At 39.4% G+C, this 24460-nt stretch overlaps 1 protein-coding gene across 3 annotated transcripts in view; it reads left to right on the forward strand.

Moving 5' to 3' along the window:
* SH3GL2 (SH3 domain containing GRB2 like 2, endophilin A1) overlaps positions 1–24460 on the forward strand; it is a 218059-nt gene that overhangs the window by 188071 nt on the left and 5528 nt on the right. For all 3 annotated transcript variants that reach the window (NM_003026.5, XM_047423730.1, XM_011518005.4), the window contains exons 4-7: positions 19245–19388; positions 20244–20377; positions 22256–22414; positions 24095–24198. In NM_003026.5, the coding sequence (NP_003017.1) occupies positions 19245–19388; positions 20244–20377; positions 22256–22414; positions 24095–24198 (541 nt within the window). The remainder of the gene's footprint in view (positions 1–19244; positions 19389–20243; positions 20378–22255; positions 22415–24094; positions 24199–24460) is intronic.

Consider the following 24460-nt stretch of genomic DNA (forward strand, 5'->3'; position numbering starts at 1 on the left):
AAAAATGTTGTACACAGTAGGGGTTTGTTTCTCTATGGAAATGCTTTTCCCTTGAATGCCTATATGGTCTAGATTTTTCCAGCATTTCTGAGATTTGGGTATCAAATTGGGGTCATTCGATGTCTATTTAGAATTTTTTAATAATTTCAAATCTCATTTGTGAAATATTGCCTGTGGAAATAAAAGCTAGCTGTATTAGTTTCAAAATGTACCATTAGTCCCTGGAAAGATACTCTATTAAAATTAGTGTACTTCTTTTCCCACAGGCTGTGCTCTTAATCATGTCCTTCCAAAGATGAATAAATACAGTGATTATATTTGGTGACTGTGGAACTGAAAATGAATACATGTATTACTTGGCATTCATGTAGACAAATCCTTGGTCTCACAACACACTGAATTTACTGTTTTTTCCTGGAGGACAGGATAGCTTGTATTCATCTTTGCATCTTTTAGAGTCCTTAGCATTATGCCTGGTACATTGTTTGCTCTCAGTATGTCTGGTGAATAGGTGTATGAATGAATATATCCATCCTTCACTTAAAGAATAAGGGATGTGTGCTGAGTCTAGTAGCCAGAGCTTTTCCATTTCCACATCCTGGCAATGAAAAATAATCAAAATGCATAAAGGACAGATTACAAAAGCAGTTGTGAGGAAAATGTTGTTAAGCTTCAAAGGAATAGGGTATTTCAAGGATAAATATATTAAGAAAGAAAACTTAAGTCAGGTGATGGGTGATATAATTCATATACTAATGTATTGAAAGGCTGGAGGGTTTCTACTTCTACATCTTTGGGGAAAATATTGAAAATAGGTTCCTGAAATATGTGAGACACTGTAAGTGATTTAGACTTTTAAGTCAGCTAGAACTGGTGGAATAATGATATTCTTTACTTGTGTGTCTAAACAATGAATGCTAAAGCCAGATCTTGCTTAAAAGATTCTTAATCAGGGCTGGGCACAGTAGCTCACGCCTATAATCCCAGCACTTTGGGAGGCCGAGGTGGGCGGATCACGAGATCAGGGGATAGAGACCATCCTGGCTAACACAGTGAAACTCTGTCTCTACTAAAAATACAAAAAAGTAGCTGCTGTTGGTGGTGGGCACCTGTAATCCCAGCTACTTGGGAGGCTGAGGCAGGAGAATGGCATGAACCTGGGAGGCGGAGCTTGCAGTGAGCCAGGATCATGCCACTGCACTGCAGCCTGGGCGACAGAGCGGGACTCTGTCTCAAAAAAAAAAAAAAAAAAAAACACCAGATTCTTAATCATAACAAATATAGTATACATTTAAAATGCATGTGTACATGTATATTGAGAATTAAGTTAATGGCACCTCACGTGAATAGTCCCTAAATACTATAAATAAATACCATACCTAAATCCTCAGCATGGCCTTTAAGATCCAGCATGTGGTGGCCCCTGTGCTTTCTGTCTCTCCTAGTTCCTTCTCCCTCTTGTTCACTCTGTGGCCTTTAGTTTCTTCAATTCCTCAAGTTCTTTGCTGTATCAGGAGTTTGTAGCGGCTGTTTCCCCTTCTCCTGGTAGAATATGGGCCCTCATCTGCCCCTTCTTCGACAACTGTCTTCTCACCATCCCTCCTGTCTCAGCTTATGTATCTCGACTCTGAGTGGTGTCTTCTGAGGGCCAAGTCGAAATCATTTCTACTCCAGTTTTATATTTTCATGCTACCTTTATATCACATGAGTTCCCCTCAACAAATCTCTTGAGAAGTTCCTCACTTAGAATAAAATTGAAAGCACTTATGTGGGTTACAAAGTCCTGAGGATCTGAGCTCATTCCTTATGTTCCTGGCTGTCTCCATCTCGCTCCTTCTGAGCTAGCCTTCCTCAAACACACAGGCACTATTGTTCATGGGGCCTGGCCAGCCCCTTTGCTTCAATCACTTCCTCTCCATGTCTTCTCAAAGCCTTCGCTGGGGTCTCTGCTCAAATGTCACCTAATTTGTGCAGCTTTCCTGACCATCTTGTTTAAAACATCAGCCCTTCTAACTTCCTAAGCCTTTTCTTGTTTTACTTTTCTTCAGAGCATTTAGCACCACTTCAGATGTACATTTACTTGTTAAAGTGTTGCTTGTCACTGCTACCGAAATGCAGTGACGCAGTGACTTGAGCACAGGATTGTTTGTACACTGCAAAGAGCCCAATTCTATTCTTTTATTGCACTTTTCATAATATTTACTTTATGCAACTTATGATTTGTTCACTATACTGCCTTTTTCCATTATTACTCTCCTATTTTACATTCTTCACATAGCAGCCAGTTCCATCCATTAAAGATGTAATTCACATCTTGTCACTCCTCTGCTTGTAACTCTCCACTGGCTTCCATTGCACTGAGAATTATCCTCAGACTTGTTCCTGCCTCGGGGTCTTTGCACAGGTGTTTCTTCTGCCTGGAACACTCTTCTCCAGCTCCTGTTAATGTCTGCTGCTCCTCATCACTCCACCTTCAGTCAGATGCCGTCTCCCTGTACAGTCCTTTCCTGCCCCGACCCCTATTGAAAATAGTTTCTCCTCATCCCTCTCATACCTCCTTATATTATTTCCTATCAACATTTGGAATTATCTTCTAATTTATCTTTTTGTTTATTGTTTTCACATCACTCCCATTTCTCATATAGAACGTAATCTCCAGAAGGGTAGAATCTTGTCTGTCTTATTTACTATTCGTAATAATGGAAGTAGTGCCCTCAGTAAATATTTATTGAATGAATGCTGTTCATCTCTTCCAGTATATTGTAAACATAGTCATTGAAGACAAGGACTATGTCTCTTTTACTCCTTTATATATACCCAGTTCCTAGCACAGAGTTTGGTGCTAGCGATTGATTAATTTGCTTAATGAATGAATCAAATCATGTGAAGCATACATAAGCTCCATCTTACGGGAGTAGCTAACTTTTCAGGTAAGTGTCGTGGTCTGCAGACTTTTACAGATCAGTATCAGAGCTGTTCTCTGTGTAATATCTATTTGGTGTCATGTACAATTAGTATATTTCACAATTGCTTTGGGAAAAGTGTGGATGTGCATACTGTCATGTATAAAATCACTGGGCTGAAGCTATTAATAGACATTTGTGTTTATATACATAGATAATAGTTGTATCTATTTTTGAATGAGAAAACTGAAGCTGCAAGGTGATTAGCAATTTGCCCGAACTATACAACAGAACAGCCAGAATCTTTATTCAGATATTACTATCTCCAAGGCACATTCTGTTTTCAAAAAAAAATGTCTTATGCTACAAAGTCTTAAACTACAAAGATACCTCCAGGCTTGGTAAGTGTGGCAAGTGTACTCTAGGGTGACTTGTACAGGTTCACACCCTTATATAATCCCTTCCCGTTGGGTGTAGATGGAACCTGTGACTTGCTGCTAACCAATAAATATGGCAAAGGTAATGGAATCAACTACTCACCACTCCCTTGATAGTGATTACATTATATGGCCAAATCGATGGTGCATCACTCCCATGACCAAGTCACATTATGTGAGACAGTCTTAGCAGACTAATACGAGAGACATTCCCTTCCTTGTCTAGAAGAAGCACACTGCCATGTTATGACAGCCCAAGGAGAGGACCACATGTCAAGGAACTGGGGGTAGTCTCTAGAACCTAAGGGTGGCCACTGGCCAACAGCCAGCGGGAAGCCAGAGCTCTCAATCACACTGCCACAGAGAAGTGAACAGCCCGGACTCAGGAAGACAGCAACCCACGTGAGCCTGGATGCAGACTTCTCCCCTCTCTGGCCTCCACATGGCAAAGCAGTCTGACTCTACATTGTTTGCAGCCTGGCGAGACCCTGAGCATAGGACTCAATTTAGGCATGCCCAGACTTACTTGCAGAAACTGTGAGGTAATGTGTGTTGTTTGAAGCCACTGAGTTTGTGGTACTTTGTTATTCTATGTAGAAAACTAATACAGTGTGGCTGTTCCCAGCCAGAGCTCCTATTTCAAGCATACAACTGTCTGCTGGGGCCATCAGGCTATTTGCCCTGTGGCTTTAGGCTCCTTGGATACCTTACATTGAAGTAGGAGGTAGATTGGGAACACCTGTCACTGTCTTTTCAGCTTAAGATGAGGTCTCCTGAACCCCCCAGGGAGTATAGGTCAGTCCAGTTCCACCAAAGACTGAAGATATCTTTGTGTTTTGAAACATGATAGCAAAGAACACTTGGCACAGTGCCTGACACTTAGTAGGGACTCAAGAAATATTATGCACCTTCCTTTCCTGGGGTACTGCAGCTCAACCTAGGGCATCTCAGATGCTAACCCAGCAGTTCCTCCCTGGGCAAGGTCTTTAGAAATCCCACTGCAGGACCCTTCTTACAATAAGGATATATTATTTACCACCACCCTCTATTTGCTCTGAAAACCTGAGAAAGCAAAGGCTGATGATGTTAGTACACTGAGGGTTGTGTATTTTTCAGATTTCACAAACTGTTTTATGCCCCTGAGGGGGACAGTTGCCTGCTTTGCCAGGGCACTCTGTGAGACCTGTGTTGGCACCTTGCAGCACCCAATCTTGAGGTGGGAGATGTTTGCTGCCCCATGTCACAAGTTCTTAGGGCTGCTGACTGTGTACTACAGCACAGGGTCTTAATATCCCTCCCTGCTGTTTCCTACTTGAGGCATAAGAGAGCTTTGTCACCTTGGAGAGAGGTGTTATATAAATACCATTATTTGGGTTGAGAGTAGCACGATCCAGTGCTAGGGTTGTCTATTTGTGTAAGTCAGTAGGCAAATCTTCCTCTTCCCTTTTCTCAGTGTCTTCTAATAGTTAACTACAAAAGAAACAACATAGATGTGAGTATATTTACCTAAGTTCTCATTACAGTATAACTCTTTCTGTCATTTCGTAATTGTTAGTGTGCAAAACAGCAGAGCACATTGGTATCAGTGCAGAGAGCATCAGAGGGCCACGTTTCAGACTTGTAGATGCTCTGAGACTTCACCTAAGAAAACCAGGCCATAATATGCAATAATCACATGTTGCCAAAATGAAATGCATGCTAAGATGCTATTTATTACATAAATTTTGTTGGAAGTATTAAGCCCCAAATCTTATTTAGTGTGATTTGAGGATTTATACTCATCTTACAATTGTAATCTCTATATTAGACTTCACAAATTTAGTTAAAATAATTTAGAATTAATTTTTCTTATTTTTCATAGTAAAACATGCATAACATGAAATTATCTTAACTATTTTTAAGTATACATTTCACTGGTATTAAATACATTCATAATGTTGCGTAATCACCACCACCATCCATCTCCATAACTCTTTTTGTCTTGTAAAAGTAAAACTCTATCCCCATTAAGTAATAACTCCCCCTTTCCTACTTCAGCCGCTGGCTACCACCATTCTACTTTCTGGCTCTATGATTTTAATTATTCTAATCACTTCATGTAAGTGGAATCACATAGCATTTGTCTTTTTTGTGACGGCTTTATTTCACTTGGCATAATGTCCCAAGGTTTACTTATGTAATAGTGTATATAAGAATTGCCTTCCTTTTTAAGGCTGAATAGTATTCTGTTGTGTGTAAATAGTGCAATTTTTATATAGATTCACCTGTTGATAGACAACTGAGTTGCTTTCACATTTTAGCTATTGTGAATAATGCTTCTATGACCATGAGTATACAAATATCACTCTGAAACTCTGCTTTCAATTATTTTGGGTAGATATCCAGAAATGGAATTGCTGGAACTTAAGGGAATTCTATTTTTTATTTCTGAGGTACCACTGTGCTCTCTTCCACAGCATTTTACTTTCTCACCAACAGTGCACAAGGGTTCGAGTTACTCTACATCCTTGCTAACACTTGTTATTTTCTGTTTTTTTGATGTTTACCATCCTTATGAGTGTGAGGTGGTATCTCATTGTAGTTTTGATTTGTAATGACCTAATGATTAGTGAAGTTAACCACCTTTTTATGTGCTTTTTAGCCATTTGTATGTCTTCTTTGGGGAAATGTCAATTCAAGCCTTCGCTCATTTATTAATCCAGTTGTTTGGGTTTTTTGTTGCGTTTTAGGAGTTCTGTACATATCAGATATGATTTACAAATATTTTCCCCCATTCTGTGGGTTGCCTTTTTACTCAGTTTCTAGTGTCTTTTGATGCACACAATTTCTTAACTTTCGTGAAGTCCAATTGTGTAATTTTTTTTGTTGTTGCATATGCCTTTGGTATCATATCCAGGAATTCATTGCCACATCCAGTGTCATGAAGCTTTTGCCTGTGTTTTCTTCTAAGAGTTCTAGAGTTTTAGATCTTACAGCTAGCTCTTTAATGTATTTGGAGTTAATTTTTGTATATAGTATTAGAAAAAGGTCCAAATTCATTTTTTTGCATATAGATCCATTTTTCCCAGCACCATTGGTTGAAAAGACTATTATTTCTCGTGAGTGGTCTTGGTACCTTTGTCAAAAATCATTTGACCGTGTATGCAAGAGTTTATTTCTGGGCCCTCTGCTCTGTTCCCTTGGCCTACATGTCTGTCTTTATGACAGTACCACACTGTATTACCATAGCTTTGTAGTGAGTTTTCAAATCAGGAGGTGTGAGTCTTCTAGCTTTGTTTTTTTAAGATTCTTTTTGCTATTTGGAGTCCCTTGAGATTCCATATGAATTTTAGGGTGGGATTTCCATTTCTACAAAAAATGTTACTGAGACTTTGATAGGGATTGCATTGAATCTTTAGATTGCTTTGAATAATGTTGACATCTTAATAATATTAAGTCTTCGAGTTCATGAACATGGGATGTATTTCCATTTATATATGTCTTTTAAAATTTCTTTCAGCAGTGTTTGGTAGTTTTCATTGTTGAAGTCTTTTACCTCCTTGGTTAAATTAATTCCTGAGTATTTTATTCTTTTTGATACTATTGTAAATGGAATTAACCTTTTAATTTCCTTTTCAGATTGTTCGTTGTCAGTGTATAGAAATGCAACTGATTTTTGTGTGTTGACTTTGTGTCCTGCTACTTTGTTGAATTCATTTATTAGTTCTGACAGCTTTTTGTGGGAAATCTTTAGAGATTTCTATATGTAAGATCATGTCATCTGAAAATAGATAATTTTACTTGTTTACATCCAATTTGGATTCCTTTTTCTTACCAAATTGCCCTGGCCAGAACTTTCAGTACTGTGTTGAATAGATGTGGTCACAGTGGGCATCATTGTCTCGTTACTGATCTTAGAGTAAAAGCTTTCAGTCTTTCACCATTTAGTATGATGTTCATTGTGAGGTTTTCATATATGACTTGTACCATGTTGAGGTAATTTCTTCCTATTCCTAGCTTATTGTTTTTATCATGAAAAGGTGTTGAACTTAGTCAACACTTATTCCTGCATCAATTGAGATGATCGTGTGTGTGGTTTTTTTTTTTACTCTATTTTGTTAATGTGAGGTATTAGATGGACCCATTTTTGTATATTGAACCATATGCTTGTATTTCAGGAACAAATACCACTTGGTCATGGGGTATAATTTTTAAAATATGCTGTTGAATTTGCTTTGCTAGCATTTTGTTGAGAATTTTCACAACAATGATCGTAAGAGATATTGGTCTGTAGTTGTCTTGTAGTGTCTTTGTCTGGCTTTGCTATCAAGATAATGCTGTCCTCATAGAATGAGCAGGAAATTTTCCTTCTTCAATTTTTTGGAAAAGTTTGAGGAGAGTTGGTGTTAGTTCTTCAAATATTTGGTAGAAGTCACTGGTGAAGCCATCAGATCCTAGGCTTGTTTTTGTTGGGAGATTTTTGATTACTGATTCAATCTTCTTACTAATGATAGGTCTGTTCAGATTTTCTATTTCTTTGTGAGTTAGTCTTGGTAGGTTTTGTGTTTCTAAGAGTTTGTCCATTTCATTTAGGTTATACAGTTCATTGTTGTGCAGTTGTTCATAGTACTCTTAATAATCTTATTTACTTGTGTAGATCAGAATGAATATCCCCACTTTTTATTTCTGATTTTAGTAATTTGTGTCTTTTCTCTCTGTTTTTTTCTAGTTCAGCTAGCTAAATGTTTGTCAATTTTGTTGATCTTTTCCAAGAACAAACTTTTAATTTTTTCCATCAATTAAAGACATCCTTGGCTCTTGATAGGTGATGAAGGGGCAAGTGTATTTTTAGCTGTTGGTTGCCATTTCAACGAAATAGCCGTCAACTGTAATTTTCTCCAAAAGTGGGAAAACAGAGAAAAAAACTAACATTTTTCTGTACTTCATTTTCCATCTGTAAAATGGAGAAACAAAACCCATCTGTTGTGTTTTGCAAGGCTGGATGATGTGTACGCATTATATATGTAGTAGATAACTTCTGAAATTATAGTTATAGGATGAAATCTGGTTATGGTCTTCAGTTTTTCAGGTATTTCAGGGCTCTTTCTAAGTTTCTGGACCAGATAGTAGCAATTAATGAATACTACTACAAATTATTCGGCATTTGTCCTGCTCAAGATCTCTGCTCCTTTGGGTAATGAGGCTTGGTTTCTATAAGACAGATAGGGATGACAAAGGAATTAGGTCACTAAAAGCAGTGAAAGACTTCAGAAACCATGTTTCATGTCTTTGGTCTTCCCTGATGGATGCTAAAGCCATTAGGTTTCCCCCAACAGTCAGAACATAAAGATGTGACTTGGAGTACTGTGGCCACCTGTTCTGCCCAAGTGCATCAGCTGTGTTCATCAACTCACACCAAGGGTGGGGGTTGGATTCTCTTCTTCCCTGTTGTGATAGACAGATGCCCTGTCATTATGTTTTTATGTGAAATTTCACAGTGAAAGAAGGAAGCCACTCTTGAGAATACAGCAATTTAAATCAGGTTGTAATTTTTAAAAAGTGATTTACAAAAGGTCTTTCCCAAAATACTGCCATCATAATCATCTAGGGTGGGGAGAAAAATAGGGTGCGGAGGGCAGAATCACCCCTCATCCTTGCTCTTCCAGCAGGGAACACTCATTTTCACACCCCTGTGCCTCTGCAGCCCCACCCTTTGTTGAGGTTTGTGCTGGGCATGTACGTTCCACAGAGTCTGCTGGTTTCCAGTGTGACAGAAATCTCATTTGTGATAAACCTTGATTTTGAATTGTAGTAAATGAAACTTTAAAAAAAGCAGACATTAAAACTCCCTGTTTTTTTCCCTAGGAAAAGGAGCATTCCATCTTCTGGCATCACTGTCCTTGGGACTAAACCCCCTTAGAAAACACCGCTTTTGCCTAGCCCTCAGAGGCTTGGTCCCCTGACATTTTACACTTTTCCAGAAAAAGAATCTCAGGGGCTTTCCTACAAATGTCTGTCACAACCTCAACAACCTCACAACCTCAAGTCTGTCCTATTTTAGAGACACACACACAAAAATGCTATAAAGGAAGTATTAATACTTGTTTAGAGAGATTATCAGGAACATTGTACTTAACAGTGAGAAATCTGAATAATGTGTATATGAGTGTGTTATGTTATTCTTTGTACTTTGCATTTTCAAAATGTCCCATCTTTTTTTTTTTTTAAGCCAAGAAGTATGATAATACTTACCTGGCCACCACAGATGAGAATTGAAGTGCAATAAAACTTGCCACAAGCTGGGAGGAACCAGCAGTGTGCTGCTACAGGCTTAACAACCATCTTTCTGGAAGAAAAACCTTGATTTGTAGCATGAGCCAGTTTCTGTGTCTCACATGGCCATTTTCAAGCTACCAGTGTGACATCACTGAACTGTGACTTGGAAAAAGAGGCTCACACTTGGCTCCCCTGAGCAGTGCTGGCCTAACTCCAGCACACCACTGGATTGAACTGCCAAGAAAGAGTAGCTCCCACGGATAGGGAGGAAGCAGATGCTCTGTAAATACCTGTAGACAGAGGCAGGGAGACCTTTGTAGAATGGAGAGTGTTAGGGACCTTCCTCTTCTTTATTTCGGAAAATCTTAGATTACATATTCGTTGGTTGATCTCATGCTTGTGTGCTTATGGAAATAAAGCATTTAGTCAGTAAAATATTGTTACCCAAGGACTCAATAACCATGCAGTCAATAAACTGTATATATTTTTAGAGGCTTCTTTCAAACATAACTTTTTAAGATGACTTTATTCAAAAAGAGTAAACCCAGGTGGAATATTTATAAAGATAAAAGCTTCAGAAATCCATGTGAAATGAAAATTATGTAATAATTGGTTTGCTCACAAATATAGTAATTCAGATAGTTTTAAAAAATTACTTTGATTTAAAGTTTGTTAAAATAATCAAGTTTAAAAAGAAAGTATATGGGTTGAGTGATATCCCTCCCAAATTCATTTCATTTTCCCCCGGAACCTCAGAATTTGATCTATGTCAGCTCAGGCTGCCATAACAAAATATCATAAATAATAGAAATTTATTTTCTTGCAGTTCTGGAGGTTATATAGTCCAAGATCAAGTTGCTTGACCATGTTTTAATTTCTGATGAGGGCTCTCTTCCTGGCTGGTAGTTAGACGCCTTCTCACTATGTCCTCATGTAACCTTTTCGTGGTGCATGTGTGTGGAGGGAGAGAGATTGTTCTCTCTCTTCCTCTCTTATAAGGTTACCAATCCTACTGGATTAGGACTTTGACCTCCTGACTTCCTTTAATTACTTCCTAAAAGCACTATCTCAAAATACAATTACATTGGGTATTGGGGTTTCAGCATATGAATTTGGGGAGGACAAATAGCAGTCTTCTTACCTTTTTTACATTCATCACTTACCAACTCTATTCCTTTAGCGTAGGTTGGGCTCTCATCCCTATCTTTAGTTTTATACTAGAGGCAGACTAGATATTTATAGCCGAACCCACCAACTCTAAGAACTTTCCTCTTGTCCATGACAATCTGGGAGTGCCATATTTATACATTTCAGTATACCTCTTGGTTAACATACTTCCATAACACAATTTACCATACTGGTCATAGCCTCCATTTTATTGAATAGTTCCATAAGTGCCAGGCACGGTGCTGGATACTCTAAAACATCATTTGTAATCCTCACAATAAACCCAGCAAGGTAGCTTTGATTTTCTCCATTCTGTAGATGAAGAAATCCATTCATTTTTTTCAGTTATCTTCCACGTTTACTCTAAGGCAGTTCTGAGCCCTGGGCATGTATGAGTGAATGAGGCAGGCAAAGCCCCTGCCCTCATGGAGCCTATACTCTGGAAGGATGAGACTGATAGAGAATAATACCTAATGTCAGATGTGATCAGTGCAGTGAATTAAAATGAAGAGTAAGAGGGGGAGAGAGTGACCGGGTCCAGGAAGTTCTCATGTATATGAGAACAATAAAGTGCCATGTTGGCTGGGGGAGGTCAGAGAGGCAAGAGCAGATAGGACCTTGTCACCATTGTTGGGACTTTGATTCCTACCCTGAATGACGTGGGAACACATTAAAGTGCTTTGGGGAGAAGAGTGATGTGATCTAAATTACACTAAATAGGACTGTCCTTACTCTTCTATTGAGAGTAGATTATAGGGGGCAAGCGTGGAAGCAGGGAGGCCAGCAGGAGCTTATTTTAATAATCCAGGCTGTAGATGGTAGTAGCTTAGACCAGAGTGAGAAACAGTCTGATCCTAGATGTGTTTTGAATGTAGAGCTGACCGAATTTGCTGACTAATTGCATATTAGGCAAGAGAGACATCAAAGATAACTATGAAGTCTAGTGCCTGAGCAAGTGGAAGAATGAATGGAGTTGTATTCATTAATATTGAGAGTACTATAGGAGGAGCAGGTTTGGGATGATGATGGAAAATCTGGAGTTTAGTTTGAATATGTTAAGTTTGAGAGGCCTACACATCCTAGTACAGTCAAGTAGGTATTAGAATGCCTTAGTCTGTAATACAGTGTAAAGGGCTAGCCTGCAGAGATACATGAGAATCATCAGCTTGCCAACTCAAGGAGGTGATACAATTGGCCAGACCTGATAAGAGGTGGGACTTCAGGGCCCAGGCTTGCTTGCTTATATCCCCAAGGCCCCTTGGACACATGCTTGGTGGCCTAACCCACTGGATAGTCCAAATCATCAAGATAGAGATGGGGTCCTTAAATCTATGGTTTTAAAATGTTTTCTGAGTAATTCTGATATGCATCAGGTTGACCACCACTAGTAAAAGCCTTTAGACAAGGATTTTGTTTTTTGGAGACTTAGGGGTTTCCATCTGAAACTTTGAGTCCCACAGGAAATTTGACGGAATGGGAAAGAGAATGGGTTTGGGAGTGGCTCAGACCTGAGCCTGAATCCAATCTTTTCCTGTTAGTAACTATGAGAGCTCGGATAGGCTTTCCAGGCTCTCTGAGGTTCCATATCCTTTCTTTATAGATGCAGCCCATCCCTCTTTCTGCAAATAGGAGTAATTGAACCAAACCCACAGAGTTGTGAAGATTAAGGTAAATTGTTTGTATAAAGCTCCTGGCTTAGAGTAGACACCAATTAAAAGCTAATCTCACCTGCCACATATAAAACCACTGGAAGAAAACTGTTCTTGAATTTTGTTTCATCTTCATTTGGGGGCAATTATCTTCTGCTTCTTTCTGTTATCTAATGGCCTAGCCTTCAAGATTTCAGATGTTGTCAGATAAGTTGGTTTTCTTTACCCCCCACCACCATCCTTTGAGCCCAAGACCGATTTGCTTGGTTGTCTGCTATACAACCACATGGATATTGTTAGACTTTGTGTTTCTGCAGTTGAAGTACTTACACACTTCCACTCTAAAATCTTCTCTTTGTCCTGTGTTCTTTATCTCACATTTGTATCATCACCTCCCACGTTTTCAGTCTAGAGACGAACACAGTGGTTCTCAACCTTGGCTGCACATTAGAATCGCCTTTGGGATTTTAAAAACTGCCGTGTCCAGACCACATGCCAAACCAATTACATCAGAATGTTTAGGAGTGAAATTTCTGAATTTGTTATTGATCTGTAACATACAAAAAGTACAACACATATATCATAAGTATATTGCTCAATGAACTATTATAAACTTCTGTTTAAAGGTACATGGTTCAAGAAACTGAACATTGTCAACATCCCAAAACCTCCTTCCACAGATCCTAGCTGCCCTTACCTTTAATACTATACATTTTTATCTGTCTTGTAACTGAAATATGATCATAGAACATGTATTCTTTTGATCTGGCTTATTTTGTTCATCTTTCTATTTGTCCTACTTCTTTCATTCTCATTGCTCTGTAGAATTCCCTTGTGAGAACATAGCACAGTTTACTTGTCCATTTTCTCCACTGATGAGCATTTAGGTGTTTGCATTTTCTAGATATTTTGAATAGCACAGTTTTTTTTTTTAATTTTTTTTTTATTATACTCTAAGTTTTAGGGTACATGTGCACATTGTGCAGGTTAGTTACATATGTATACATGTGCCATGCTGGTGCGCTGCACCCACTAACGTGTCATCTAGCATTAGGTATATCTCCCAATGCTATCCCTCCCCCCTCCCCCGACCCCACCATAGTCCCCAGAGTGTGATATTCCCCTTCCTGTGTCCATGTGATCTCATTGTTCAATTCCCACCTATGAGTGAGAATATGCGGTGTTTGGTTTTTTGTTCTTGCGATAGTTTACTGAGAATGATGGTTTCCAATTTCATCCATGTCCCTACAAAGGACATGAACTCATCATTTTTTATGGCTGCATAGTATTCCATGGTGTATATGTGCCACATTTTCTTAATCCAGTCTATCATTGTTGGACATTTGGGTTGGTTCCAAGTCTTTGCTATTGTGAATAGTGCCGCAATAAACATACGTGTGCATGTGTCTTTATAGCAGCATGATTTATAGTCCTTTGGGTATATACCCAGTAATGGGATGGCTGGGTCAAATGGTATTTCTAGTTCTAGATCCCTGAGGAATCGCCACACTGACTTCCACAATGGTTCAACTAGTTTACAGTCCCACCAACAGTGTAAAAGTGTTCCTATTTCTCCACATCCTCTCCAGCACCTGTTGTTTCCTGACTTTTTAATGATTGCCATTCTAACTGGTGTGAGAGGATATCTCATAGTGGTTTTGATTTGCATTTCTCTGATGGCCAGTGATGATGAGCATTTTTTCATGTGTTTTTTGGCTGCATAAATGTCTTCTTTTGAGAAGTGTCTGTTCATGTCCTTCGCCCACTTTTTGATGGGGTTGTTTGTTTTTTTCTTGTAAATTTGTTTGAGTTCATTGTAGATTCTGGATATTAGCCCTTTGTCAGATGAGTAGGTTGCGAAAATTTTCTCCCATGTTGTAGGTTGCCTGTTCACTCTGATGGTAGTTTCTTTTGCTGTGCAGAAGCTCTTGAGTTTAATTAGATCCCATTTGTCAATTTTGGCTTTTGTTGCCATTGCTTTGTACATGTCTGTTATGCATGTACACATTTCTGATGGATATACACCTAGAAGTGGAGTTACTGGGTTGCAGGGTATGTGTCTATTCAGCTTTAGTAAACACTACCAAATTGTTGTCCAGAATTTTCTACCAATTTATCCTCCTACCAGCAGTATTTGAGAGTTCTGGTTGTTCCAAACTCTGAACACTTGATCTATCTCTGTTTTGTATACTTTACTCAGATTCTCCAGGTACCTAGAATGGCCTTTCCCAGGTCTCTCCCTTTACGGTTCACTCTTTCAGAAAGCCCAGCTCGAGCATCATCTGTTCATTAGCCTTCCCAGCCTTACTCTTTCAGGTGGAATTTGTTACTGTGTCTTCTGCAGTGTAAATATTAATACATTACAGCCTCACCCACACTCTGCCTCACAGCAGTGAGTGAGCACTCTGACTCTCCACCTGGATAATAAGCTTTTTAAGAGCAGAGGCTGCACCTCACTTCTTTCAGAGTCCCCCTAGACATAGCACTTGCACATTATAGGTGCTTCATGAATATTTCTTTTGCTCACTTTATCACAGAGAAAATCTTTTAAAAATAGATTTTTGGTAAATGACTATATTCAACCAGGCAGTGAAACTTCACATTTCTTCTGTATAGGGAATGCATAATTGTTTCCAGTGTAACCTCCTTATTGATTTTAATCAATTTAATCTTTTTTAAACTCCTTGGTGTGGGACTCGTGATTTGGTGTAGGACTCATGATTTAGCTTGGGAACTCTCTTTTTCGGGGAAAATAAGAGCCTTTTTTCTGATTCTGTGAGAGCACGTGATCACTTTTTGTCATCCTCACATAGAGCAGATTTTCATGGCATAATTTAAGAAGGAAGTGCTTCCAAAGAGCCAGATTCCTAAGGGAAGATTGGAGTGAATGATGGTAAACCATATAGCTTTTTAGCCTACCTGAGAAGTGGAACTGTACTCTTCTGTACTTTACGAAATGGAGTCAGGAGAAATGAAAAGACTCAGTGGTAGCCTTGGAATCCTTAACATTTAATTAGTGTGAAGGAAAAGCAGGCCTGGTGCCAAGGAGACCTGCTCTCAAACCATCCTATGAGACCACAGAGTGAGTGGTGTGATCAGATTGTATCAGCAGCCTCTAGTGCCATTCCAAAGCACAGTGGGCGGTCATGGTACTTCTGAACAGGAAAGCTTTACCTAAGGGTTTGAAAAAATGATGTATACAGAAGCATTTTATAAAAAATTAAAATGTTTAAATGAAGTAATTCAGTACACAGTGGGGAAGAGCAAGGAAAAACTGGAAGCCACAGGCACCTCTGCATCTTTCTGTCACCCTCTCTAACGCACGCCAGCCTTCATAGTATTAGGGCTGCTGCTTCAACTTCACCTCCCAAATCTTGCGCAACCTCACTTTGGACCAATTCTGATTTTTGTCCATGGAAACACGCAAGGAAGGGACTCTGGGCAGTGCAGTTCTCTGTGCAACCAAGTTGTCAGTAGAGCATTCCAGAACACACACACAGACAGGGGAGCCTGGAAGGAGGAAAGAAAGAATATTTTCCCCAGTATCCAGTGCCTGTTGTGTTGTCTGTGCTGGTTTTTGCTGTTTATCATTGAACACTGATAACAGTCTTACAAATGAGAGATTTCTCAGGGATTCACAGCTAACTAGCAAGATTTATAGCCTGGATTTTTAGCTATGTCTGTATGTGCTCAAAGCTAATGTTCATTTTAATGGACTCTGCTGTTTTCCATGGAAAGCAAGACCTAGTGGTTTTCCTGTTTGTTTGTTTGGATTAGGAAATAAAAACTAAGATTTAGCAGAAGTACTGAGTTTACAGCATCCTCAGCTAGTTGCCACACTAGATAAGTAGCTGTAGGACAGACCAGGCAGTGACTCACATGGACACTGCTTTTAGGTCAGAGGAAAATAACTCAGGCAGGGCTAGCAGAGCTTCCATTTTATTCTCAGCAGAGCTTAGATCTCCCTTTGGCTGTTCCCAGAATTAGAAAGCTCGTCAGGGATGCTACAGATTATGCTTTAGAGTTGGGAGTTAAGACTGAGCCTCAACTGCCCCCATTTGTCTTCCTTAAAAGACAGCATAAATTTTAAGGTCAAAAAAGAAACTACTCATTTTAGCAGAGGACAAAACAGTGGAGCCCTTTTGGGAATAGGTCAGCCTTTTATGGTCATCCTAATTTTGCTTCCTGCTGTTTTAATTCACCCAATACATTTCCTTCTGGGAATCACCTAGAAGTAGATTCATGGGTTTGAAGGAGAGGAGTTAGGTATGTTTAGAAGAGAAGGGACACAGATCTCTAAGGGCACATACAACTTGGTAAAGCAATCCAGGTTGAGAGTATATAATAGGAATTTGAGTGCTTTAAATTTGTATTTTCCAGGCTCACTCTCAGTTTCTTAAAGTACTGCTTCAAACAATCATTTAAAGATAATTATGTTAACATTTAAAGATGGTTAATTTGGAGGTCTGATGATATTTTTAATAACACAGAAGTTTCATTAACCCAAGATTCTTAATATGTAATAAATTTGTGAATGAACTTAAAAGCTAGTCTCTTCAGATATGTGAATTAGTAGGCTTTTTTTAATCATTTGAAGTAGATAAGCTAGTAGAAAATGGCTTTCTTCCTCCTTCTTATGAAAATATAGAACATATCCAAGATACTCTTAGTAAAAGAATAAAGCTCTTCATAATTGAACAACATTCAAAATGATGTGTTTGAAAATCAGCCACAGTGTATTAAACTGTTTAGAATTACTTACCTGGAGACAGCCCTTAATAGAGCCAAGATATAAGCACTTACCACATCCAGCTTTTATAAAAGGAATGCATCCTTAAATGTAAAATGGCCTGAATAGGATTTGTAGGGATTAACTCATGTGTGGTTTCATTACTCTGTTTCTCCTTTCCTTCTATTCATTCTGTGTGTTTTAGGTGTTGTTTATTTTATTTGCACTGTTTTCATTTTATTCGTGCTGTCATTCTTCAGTGTCCCCCTAGTACCATGATATCAGCCATGATAATATTTATCATACTTGTTGCCACTGTTTATCTTACTCCTCACTATATTGTGAGCACCTTGAGGGCTGGGACTGTGTCCTTCCTGGATCTCAGATATGACTCACTGCAGAAAATAATGATATTGTTCCCTTAAAAATGATTCTGTGGCATTTTCTCTTTTTAAAAAAGAGACAGGCTCTTGCTGTGTCACCCAGAGTGGAGTGGCACCATCATAGCTCACTACCGCCTCAAACTCCTGGCCTTGAGCAATCTTTCCACGTCAGCTTCCCTAGTAATTGAGACTACAGGTGGGCACCACCATGCCCTGCTAACTTTTAAATTTTTCTGTAGAAATGGGGTCTTGCTATGTTGCCTTGCTGGTCTCAAACTCCTGGCCTCAAATGATCCTCCTGCTTTGGGCACCAAAGGTGCTGGGATTATAGGCATAAGCCACCACACTTAGCCTGCATTTTCTATTTTTCAAACTTAACATATGATCCCTTTTATATGAAAAAGCAAATAAGAAATGAATTTTATATTTTTTCCAGTCACCACCAGCCTTTACATGTGCTGTTAGCCTAACTGCTACATACTGTTTGGATCTAAACTTAAAGATACTTCCCTCCAGGAATCCTTTGCGATGCCCCTCCCCAACTGATGAGGACAGTGCCGCATATCTGGGACTCTCCTCAATCCCCCATCAAGGCACTTGGCATATTTACTTCACTCTAATTAATTTTAAAATAGACTCTACCCTCAGTTCATTATAAACTTTGTGAAAGCAGGGACCATAATTGTCGTGCTCATTGTAATATCCCTGGGACAGGGTTGCAGGATGTGCTCTCCTGATAACTTTTCTCATCTCTATTCAATGCCTCTAAGACTCAAAGTTTAAATAAAAGCCTTGTGAAATAAATGTCAAGATTGTCAGCCACTGAATGCTGGAAGTACCTTAAGCTGTGATTCTATCTGGGGTTTCCATTGAAGATGGGATTTGGGGTATAGTCCTAGGTTAATGTGTAATCCCAACTCTAATTTTGAACCTGAGGAACCTAGGTATCCTAGCATCAATTAAGTCATAGGCTTTAACAATTTTTTTAATAAAGCTGTTTTTGCCACTAACACTGGAATTGGTTTCTAGGCAACTTCTTTTATAAAAACAAAAACAAAGAAAGAGAAATTGAAATGTTCTCTTTGAGGCACAAAACTAATTTTCTCTAGTTATGTGCTGGAGAAGTGATTAAGTCTTTTAAATGAACACAGTATTTTTGCTCTTCATGGGTCTGTTTACCATCAGAATCTTAGTTGAGAAATGATTTTGAAAATAGTTCTGTTTCATACATGGTATAAGTGAAACAAGGCATAAGGCCCACTCTGCAGGAATTTACCATTGGTTCCTTATTTTAATCCTTAGACTCCTAGAATTGAACTATAAAACTAGAATAAAATTTAGAGATCATCACATAATTCGAGAGTTTGTAAAAAGCTCTCCATGGAAGCACCCAGCTCCACAGAGTCACTGCAGGGGCCACCACAGTGAAGGGAGGATGGGGAAGGGCACACAGTGATAGAATTTGAGCGTGTAATCCTGCTTCATCCAGAACAGAATTGCTGTAATTCATTTTAAGATCTTAAGGGAAAGGGAGAGTTTAGTGCTTTAAAAAAGTGGTTGATAAGACTGACTGACGGAGAGAACACTGGAGCGTACTGAAGGTACACTTATCAGTAGCTGAGCTACTTTGTAGGCTGCTCTGAGACCTGATCCTCCATCCAGCCCTATTTCCGCAGTGTCACATTGCCTACTCTGAAAGCTTGTTCTCTCTTCACCTTCAGCTTCCAGAGCTAAGCTCAGCATGATCAACACCATGTCAAAAATCCGTGGCCAGGAGAAGGGGCCAGGCTATCCTCAGGCAGAGGCGCTGCTGGCAGAGGCCATGCTCAAATTTGGAAGAGAGCTTGGAGATGATTGCAACTTTGGTAACAAGTGCTTCCTCACATTGTAATTCTTTCATTTGTCCATGGGGATTTTGGTGCTGGTAAGAAATTCTGTAGGGAATCGGTCAAATCATTTTATATTTTGGTTTTCAGTTTTAGATCCTACACACATGGGCCAAAAATTTGTTTTCAGAATTATTTCATCCGCTCTAATGTGATTTATCTTACAAGTTTTCTTCCCACCCCCCCCACTATAAGACCTCAGTCTTTACAACAGCTTTGGTTGACATATCCAGATGCCTCCTTGGCACTTTCTATTGGGTGTTTCTGGCAGTCATTGAGTATTGAAGCAGAGTGAGCAGGCACAGTCAGCATGATTCAAAGCCCTCCCTGCCTCATGGCCTTTTTCATAGATCTTTGCTCACTTGTATATGGTACCTAGTTCTACTGCCCAAGGTGAGACATGATTTATTCCTTCACCCTGTCTCCCCCAAAACTCAGCTACCACACCCAACATCTTCTATTTTCACCCCCTTGTGATGTGGGATCTCCTTCCTGGTTGAACCCGGCTATTTCTGGTACTTGCTTCTGCTAATAGATTTGCCTTAAGCTAGTCCCACATTAGGGAAAGCTGGTACTTACAAGAGAGGGCAGGGAGCTTCCTAAATTGCTTCTTAAAGGAAAAAGTAACTGTTCCATTCTTGATGAGAGGTATTTACCCTCTTAGGGGGCATTGAGTCTGTTGCCTGGAGTGAACTGAAGATACCTATTCTCTCTTGTCTGTTGTCTTTAGAAGACAAGTGGTAATCCTTTGGGTTTTCATCTGTGAAGGGCCCTGTTATTGCGAGTGCATTTCATCTTTATTCTGTAACATGAAAGAGCTTTATTCTCTCCTAGGCCCAGCACTTGGTGAGGTCGGGGAGGCCATGCGGGAACTGTCGGAGGTCAAAGACTCTTTGGACATAGAAGTGAAGCAGAACTTCATTGACCCTCTTCAGAATCTTCATGACAAAGATCTTAGGGAAATTCAAGTATGTACAATGAGTCTTCTGGAAAGTGGGCAGTTGAAATCATACAGATGCAGATGCCTTTTTTCTTTAGAAAACATTTTTTTAGCTTACCCTGTGTGTTGTCAGCTCTGGGCACGTTAATTACAAAACAACCCAGTAAGACAAAATGAGAGAAACCAGAAATGTGATACTTTTCAGCCTGTTATGACTGTGCCACTCATGAGGGCTGTCTCTGGCTTCTCTATGTTTGATTTTCATATTGAATAGTTTTTTTCAGACTTTTTCTCCAGAGGATAATATACTTTTCCTGAGAATACACAGTTTTGTTAATTATTCTATGGTTTGCTGGGCTGATTTCACCCACTAAAATGTTAGTTGTACTAGTTGTTAGCTTAAATAAATAGTTATTCTATCACTGCATAAGCACATATTTTTATTTTTTTCCAAGTCTAGAAATTAGATGGATGTTATGTGTTTTTATATTAATATTTTCATAATGGTTGTTAGGATTGAGGAAGAATACCAACTAGCCACTTTCTAAAACATGTAGAGCAGTTGAGCTGTTTATAATAAAGTTCATATGTCTTTGAGTGTGGAATGTTTGCTCACTTTTTTTTATCTAACAAATATTTGTTGAGCTTTTTTGAAACTTTGTTGGGTGTAAAATGGATTGCCATAACTTGAACTAGGGCCTCCTCCTCCTTATTCTAGCTTAAATCTCCTTTAGCAGTACCATTTGCTCAAGATTATAGAGTTAGTAAGTGACAGACTGACCCTAAATCCAAAATAGAACTCTGACTCCAATGCTGTACCCTATAGCTCAAATGTTTAAAAAAGAAAGTTCCTTCCAAATGAGCATTTAGTTTTTGGATCAGGGCATGGACTGAGGGGCGGGGGATGCAGTGTGAGGGAAGGTTTAGAATATTATTCTTCCTCCTTTCCTTTTCATTTTTTTAACTACTCCCTACTTTGTTTTCATTTCCTTTCATTCTGCTCCATACATACTAGTAACAAGGGAAAATCCAGGATTTTCCTTCATCCATTAGTAGTGAAAGACTAGCTATCGGGGAAAAACAATACTTTTTAGCTTTGGAAAACTACTTTGCTACCTGGTCACTAGAGATGATGGGTGGAGCCTGGGCAGCCATCTACCAGGTATGGTGCAAGGAGGGGATTGAAGCTCAGCATGGAGCATTAGATATAATCCCTTGGTAGGTCCCTTCCAAGTGAGATTTTGTTCTTGAGTTCAATTATATGTCAAGTGGGAGGCTTAAACTAAATCACTGGATTTAGTTTCTCTGGTGACAGCTGCATCAGTCAGCTGGGGCAAGTGTTAAGATGTAGATTCCTAGGCCCCCACCCTAGATATCGATTCAAGAGCTCAGGAATCCATATTGTGATGAGCAACTTACGTGATTCTAACAGACTGGATGATTTGAAAAGCAAGACTGCCATTTCTATCTCACTTAATTTCAAGGAAAGAGTTTTTCCTCTGGCTTCTCATGAGATACCATTTCTCTTGAAGACAGGGCCTGTGGGGCCTGTGAGTGTGTCCTTTCATTGTGTGTAGGGCATGTGCATTCCTTCTCTGTTTCTGTCATGGGCTGCAAAGGCTTAGTCCAGCTTGGCTTTGGCCTGACAAGGCCAGAAAATAAAGGGCACTGATATTTCCTATAATTTATCTTTTATTCTTAATTATTTTTAAAGATATTCCCCCATATTTAGCCTTTGAAAGCACTGGCCCCATTGATGCATGTTTCTTTATTTCTCTGGTGGCGTTGTATTTTAAAACTTAGCCTATCTTAATTTGGAAGTTAATGGACGTGATGGAGAAGTGAGCTCAAATAAGCCTTTTCCATAAGCCCTTTCAAAGCCTATTCCTGCCCTTGACTTTTGCAGCATCATCTAAAGAAGTTGGAGGGTCGACGCCTGGATTTTGATTATAAGAAGAAACGACAAGGCAAGATTCCGGATGAAGAGCTTCGTCAAGCTCTAGAGAAATTTGATGAGTCTAAGGAAATTGCTGAGTCAAGCATGTTCAATCTCTTGGAGATGGATGTAAGTGACTCCTGTGGTTTTCAATTTAATCTTATCATCGAGGCACAACATTAATATGTTAAAGGCCATAACCCTTAAAAGCATTAATATCTGATTACACTATGTGATAAGAACTTCAGTAGATAGTTATTTATTTTAAATAATTGTCAGTCATAAAGTAGACTGAGAAATAGAAAAGTTTCTTCTGCATTCCTGTAGTTTAACTAGATTCTCGACTGCTAATGAATCTTAAAGTACAGATGCTCCTTAACTTATGATGGGGTTAAAGTCTTGAATATATCATGTAATTTATCGAATAACGCATTAAAAGTAAAAAACAGAATGGTTGTAAGGGTACTTGAGGTATGGTTTCTACTGAGCACATATCAATTTTGCACCATCATAAAGCCTACAAATCGTAAAGTCAGGGACCATCTCTCTTATCAATAGTGGGAAGATAAAGGATATTTCTGAGGATCTATGTATAACTCAATAGAGGCCTGAGAACTCAGTTGTGGAGCAGGGGGCATCAGTAGTACTGGTGCAAGTCCCAGAGTCCAAAGGCCAGAAAGCCTAGAGCTGTGACATCCAAAGACAGGAGCGTATGGGTGTCCCTTCGCTAGAAGAGAGAGAGAACAAACTTGCCTTTCCTCTGCTTTTTATTCTATCTGGGTCCTGAGCTGAGTGGGTGGTCTCCACCCCCATAGGGAAGGGCAGCTCTTCCTTTGTTTAGTCTACTAAGTGAATGCCAGTCTCCTCTGGAAACACCCTAACAGACACACCCAGAAATAATGCTTTACCAGCTATCTGGGGATCCCTTAATCTAGTCAAGTTGTCACCTAAAATTAACCATCACATTGCCTACTTGCCTTACTCCTGACTGTGGCAGGGGAAGTGTGTTGAACATATCCAGACTTTCCTACCACCTGGAGACAGTGTAGGTTTTTGTTTATGTAAAACAACTTGTGTCCACCTAACTCCTCGAGAGGAATACTGTGTGCATGAGGGGTGCTCCAAATCACAGTGCTCCTTCCCTGCAACACAGCACCCCTCCCCATCCCCAAATTCATGGGACAACACTGCTTCTGTTGACTTGGAGGCTGCTACCCAGCTGGATCATAATGTGAAACATAAAATCAAGAGAAATCAAGCTTAGAATATTAGAGCAAGAATGAACTCAAGATGTCACTTGATTTAACCCTTTTACATTACAGATGAGGCTCAGAGAGCACAGAAGATTTTCTGTCATACCATGTCGCCTCTCCGGGTACATTATGTGAGATATTGTCACATTTTTATTAACAGTACCGATATTAACAGCATGAAAAGTATAAGGAACAAAGAGTCCTTTGGCCAGTGTACCTTCTTTTCTATAGAATAAAAGAAGTCAAATCCCAGATACAAGATTGTAGCTAAGCATGAGACTCTTTAGAGCTATATGGTCTTCCTGAGGGTTACCCATGTTGCTTCTCCTCATGGTACTGATACGCATGATTCTAAGCATAAGGATGCTTTCTTTTATCCTTGATGGATTTGAAACCTGCAGAACTATCTATCTTAGTTGGCTTATCACACAGTCATCAGCACCACCAACCAGGGGCTGTGTGTTGAGGGCAGCCCTGGTGTATGTATGAAACAGTAGTGGCTGTTTAGGGATGGTAACGTGTAAAACTAAGGCATGATTTTCCCATCAATCTGCAGATTGAACAAGTGAGCCAGCTCTCTGCACTTGTGCAAGCTCAGCTGGAGTACCACAAGCAGGCAGTCCAGATCCTGCAGCAAGTCACGGTCAGACTGGAAGAAAGGTATTCTACAGTTCCCTGCATTTCACATTTGCATTTTATTGCTATAAAATGATGTATAAAGAAATGGAAATCATAGAATACATTTGGAGACAAACGTCTGCCAAAATTCCGCTTATCCTACAGAGGCGCCTTGTGGATTGTTTTGATTTTGTTTTTTCTTGTGCTTTGTTTTACGTTGTTCTGTTGAATCTAATTTTCTGCTTATGAGAGATCGATACTTGGATTATATTTTGGCTGCCACAGGTGGAACACCAGGATGCTA

This window comes from Homo sapiens, chromosome 9 (assembly GCF_000001405.40).
Source record: "Homo sapiens chromosome 9, GRCh38.p14 Primary Assembly".
Classification (NCBI taxonomy): domain Eukaryota; kingdom Metazoa; phylum Chordata; class Mammalia; order Primates; family Hominidae; genus Homo; species Homo sapiens.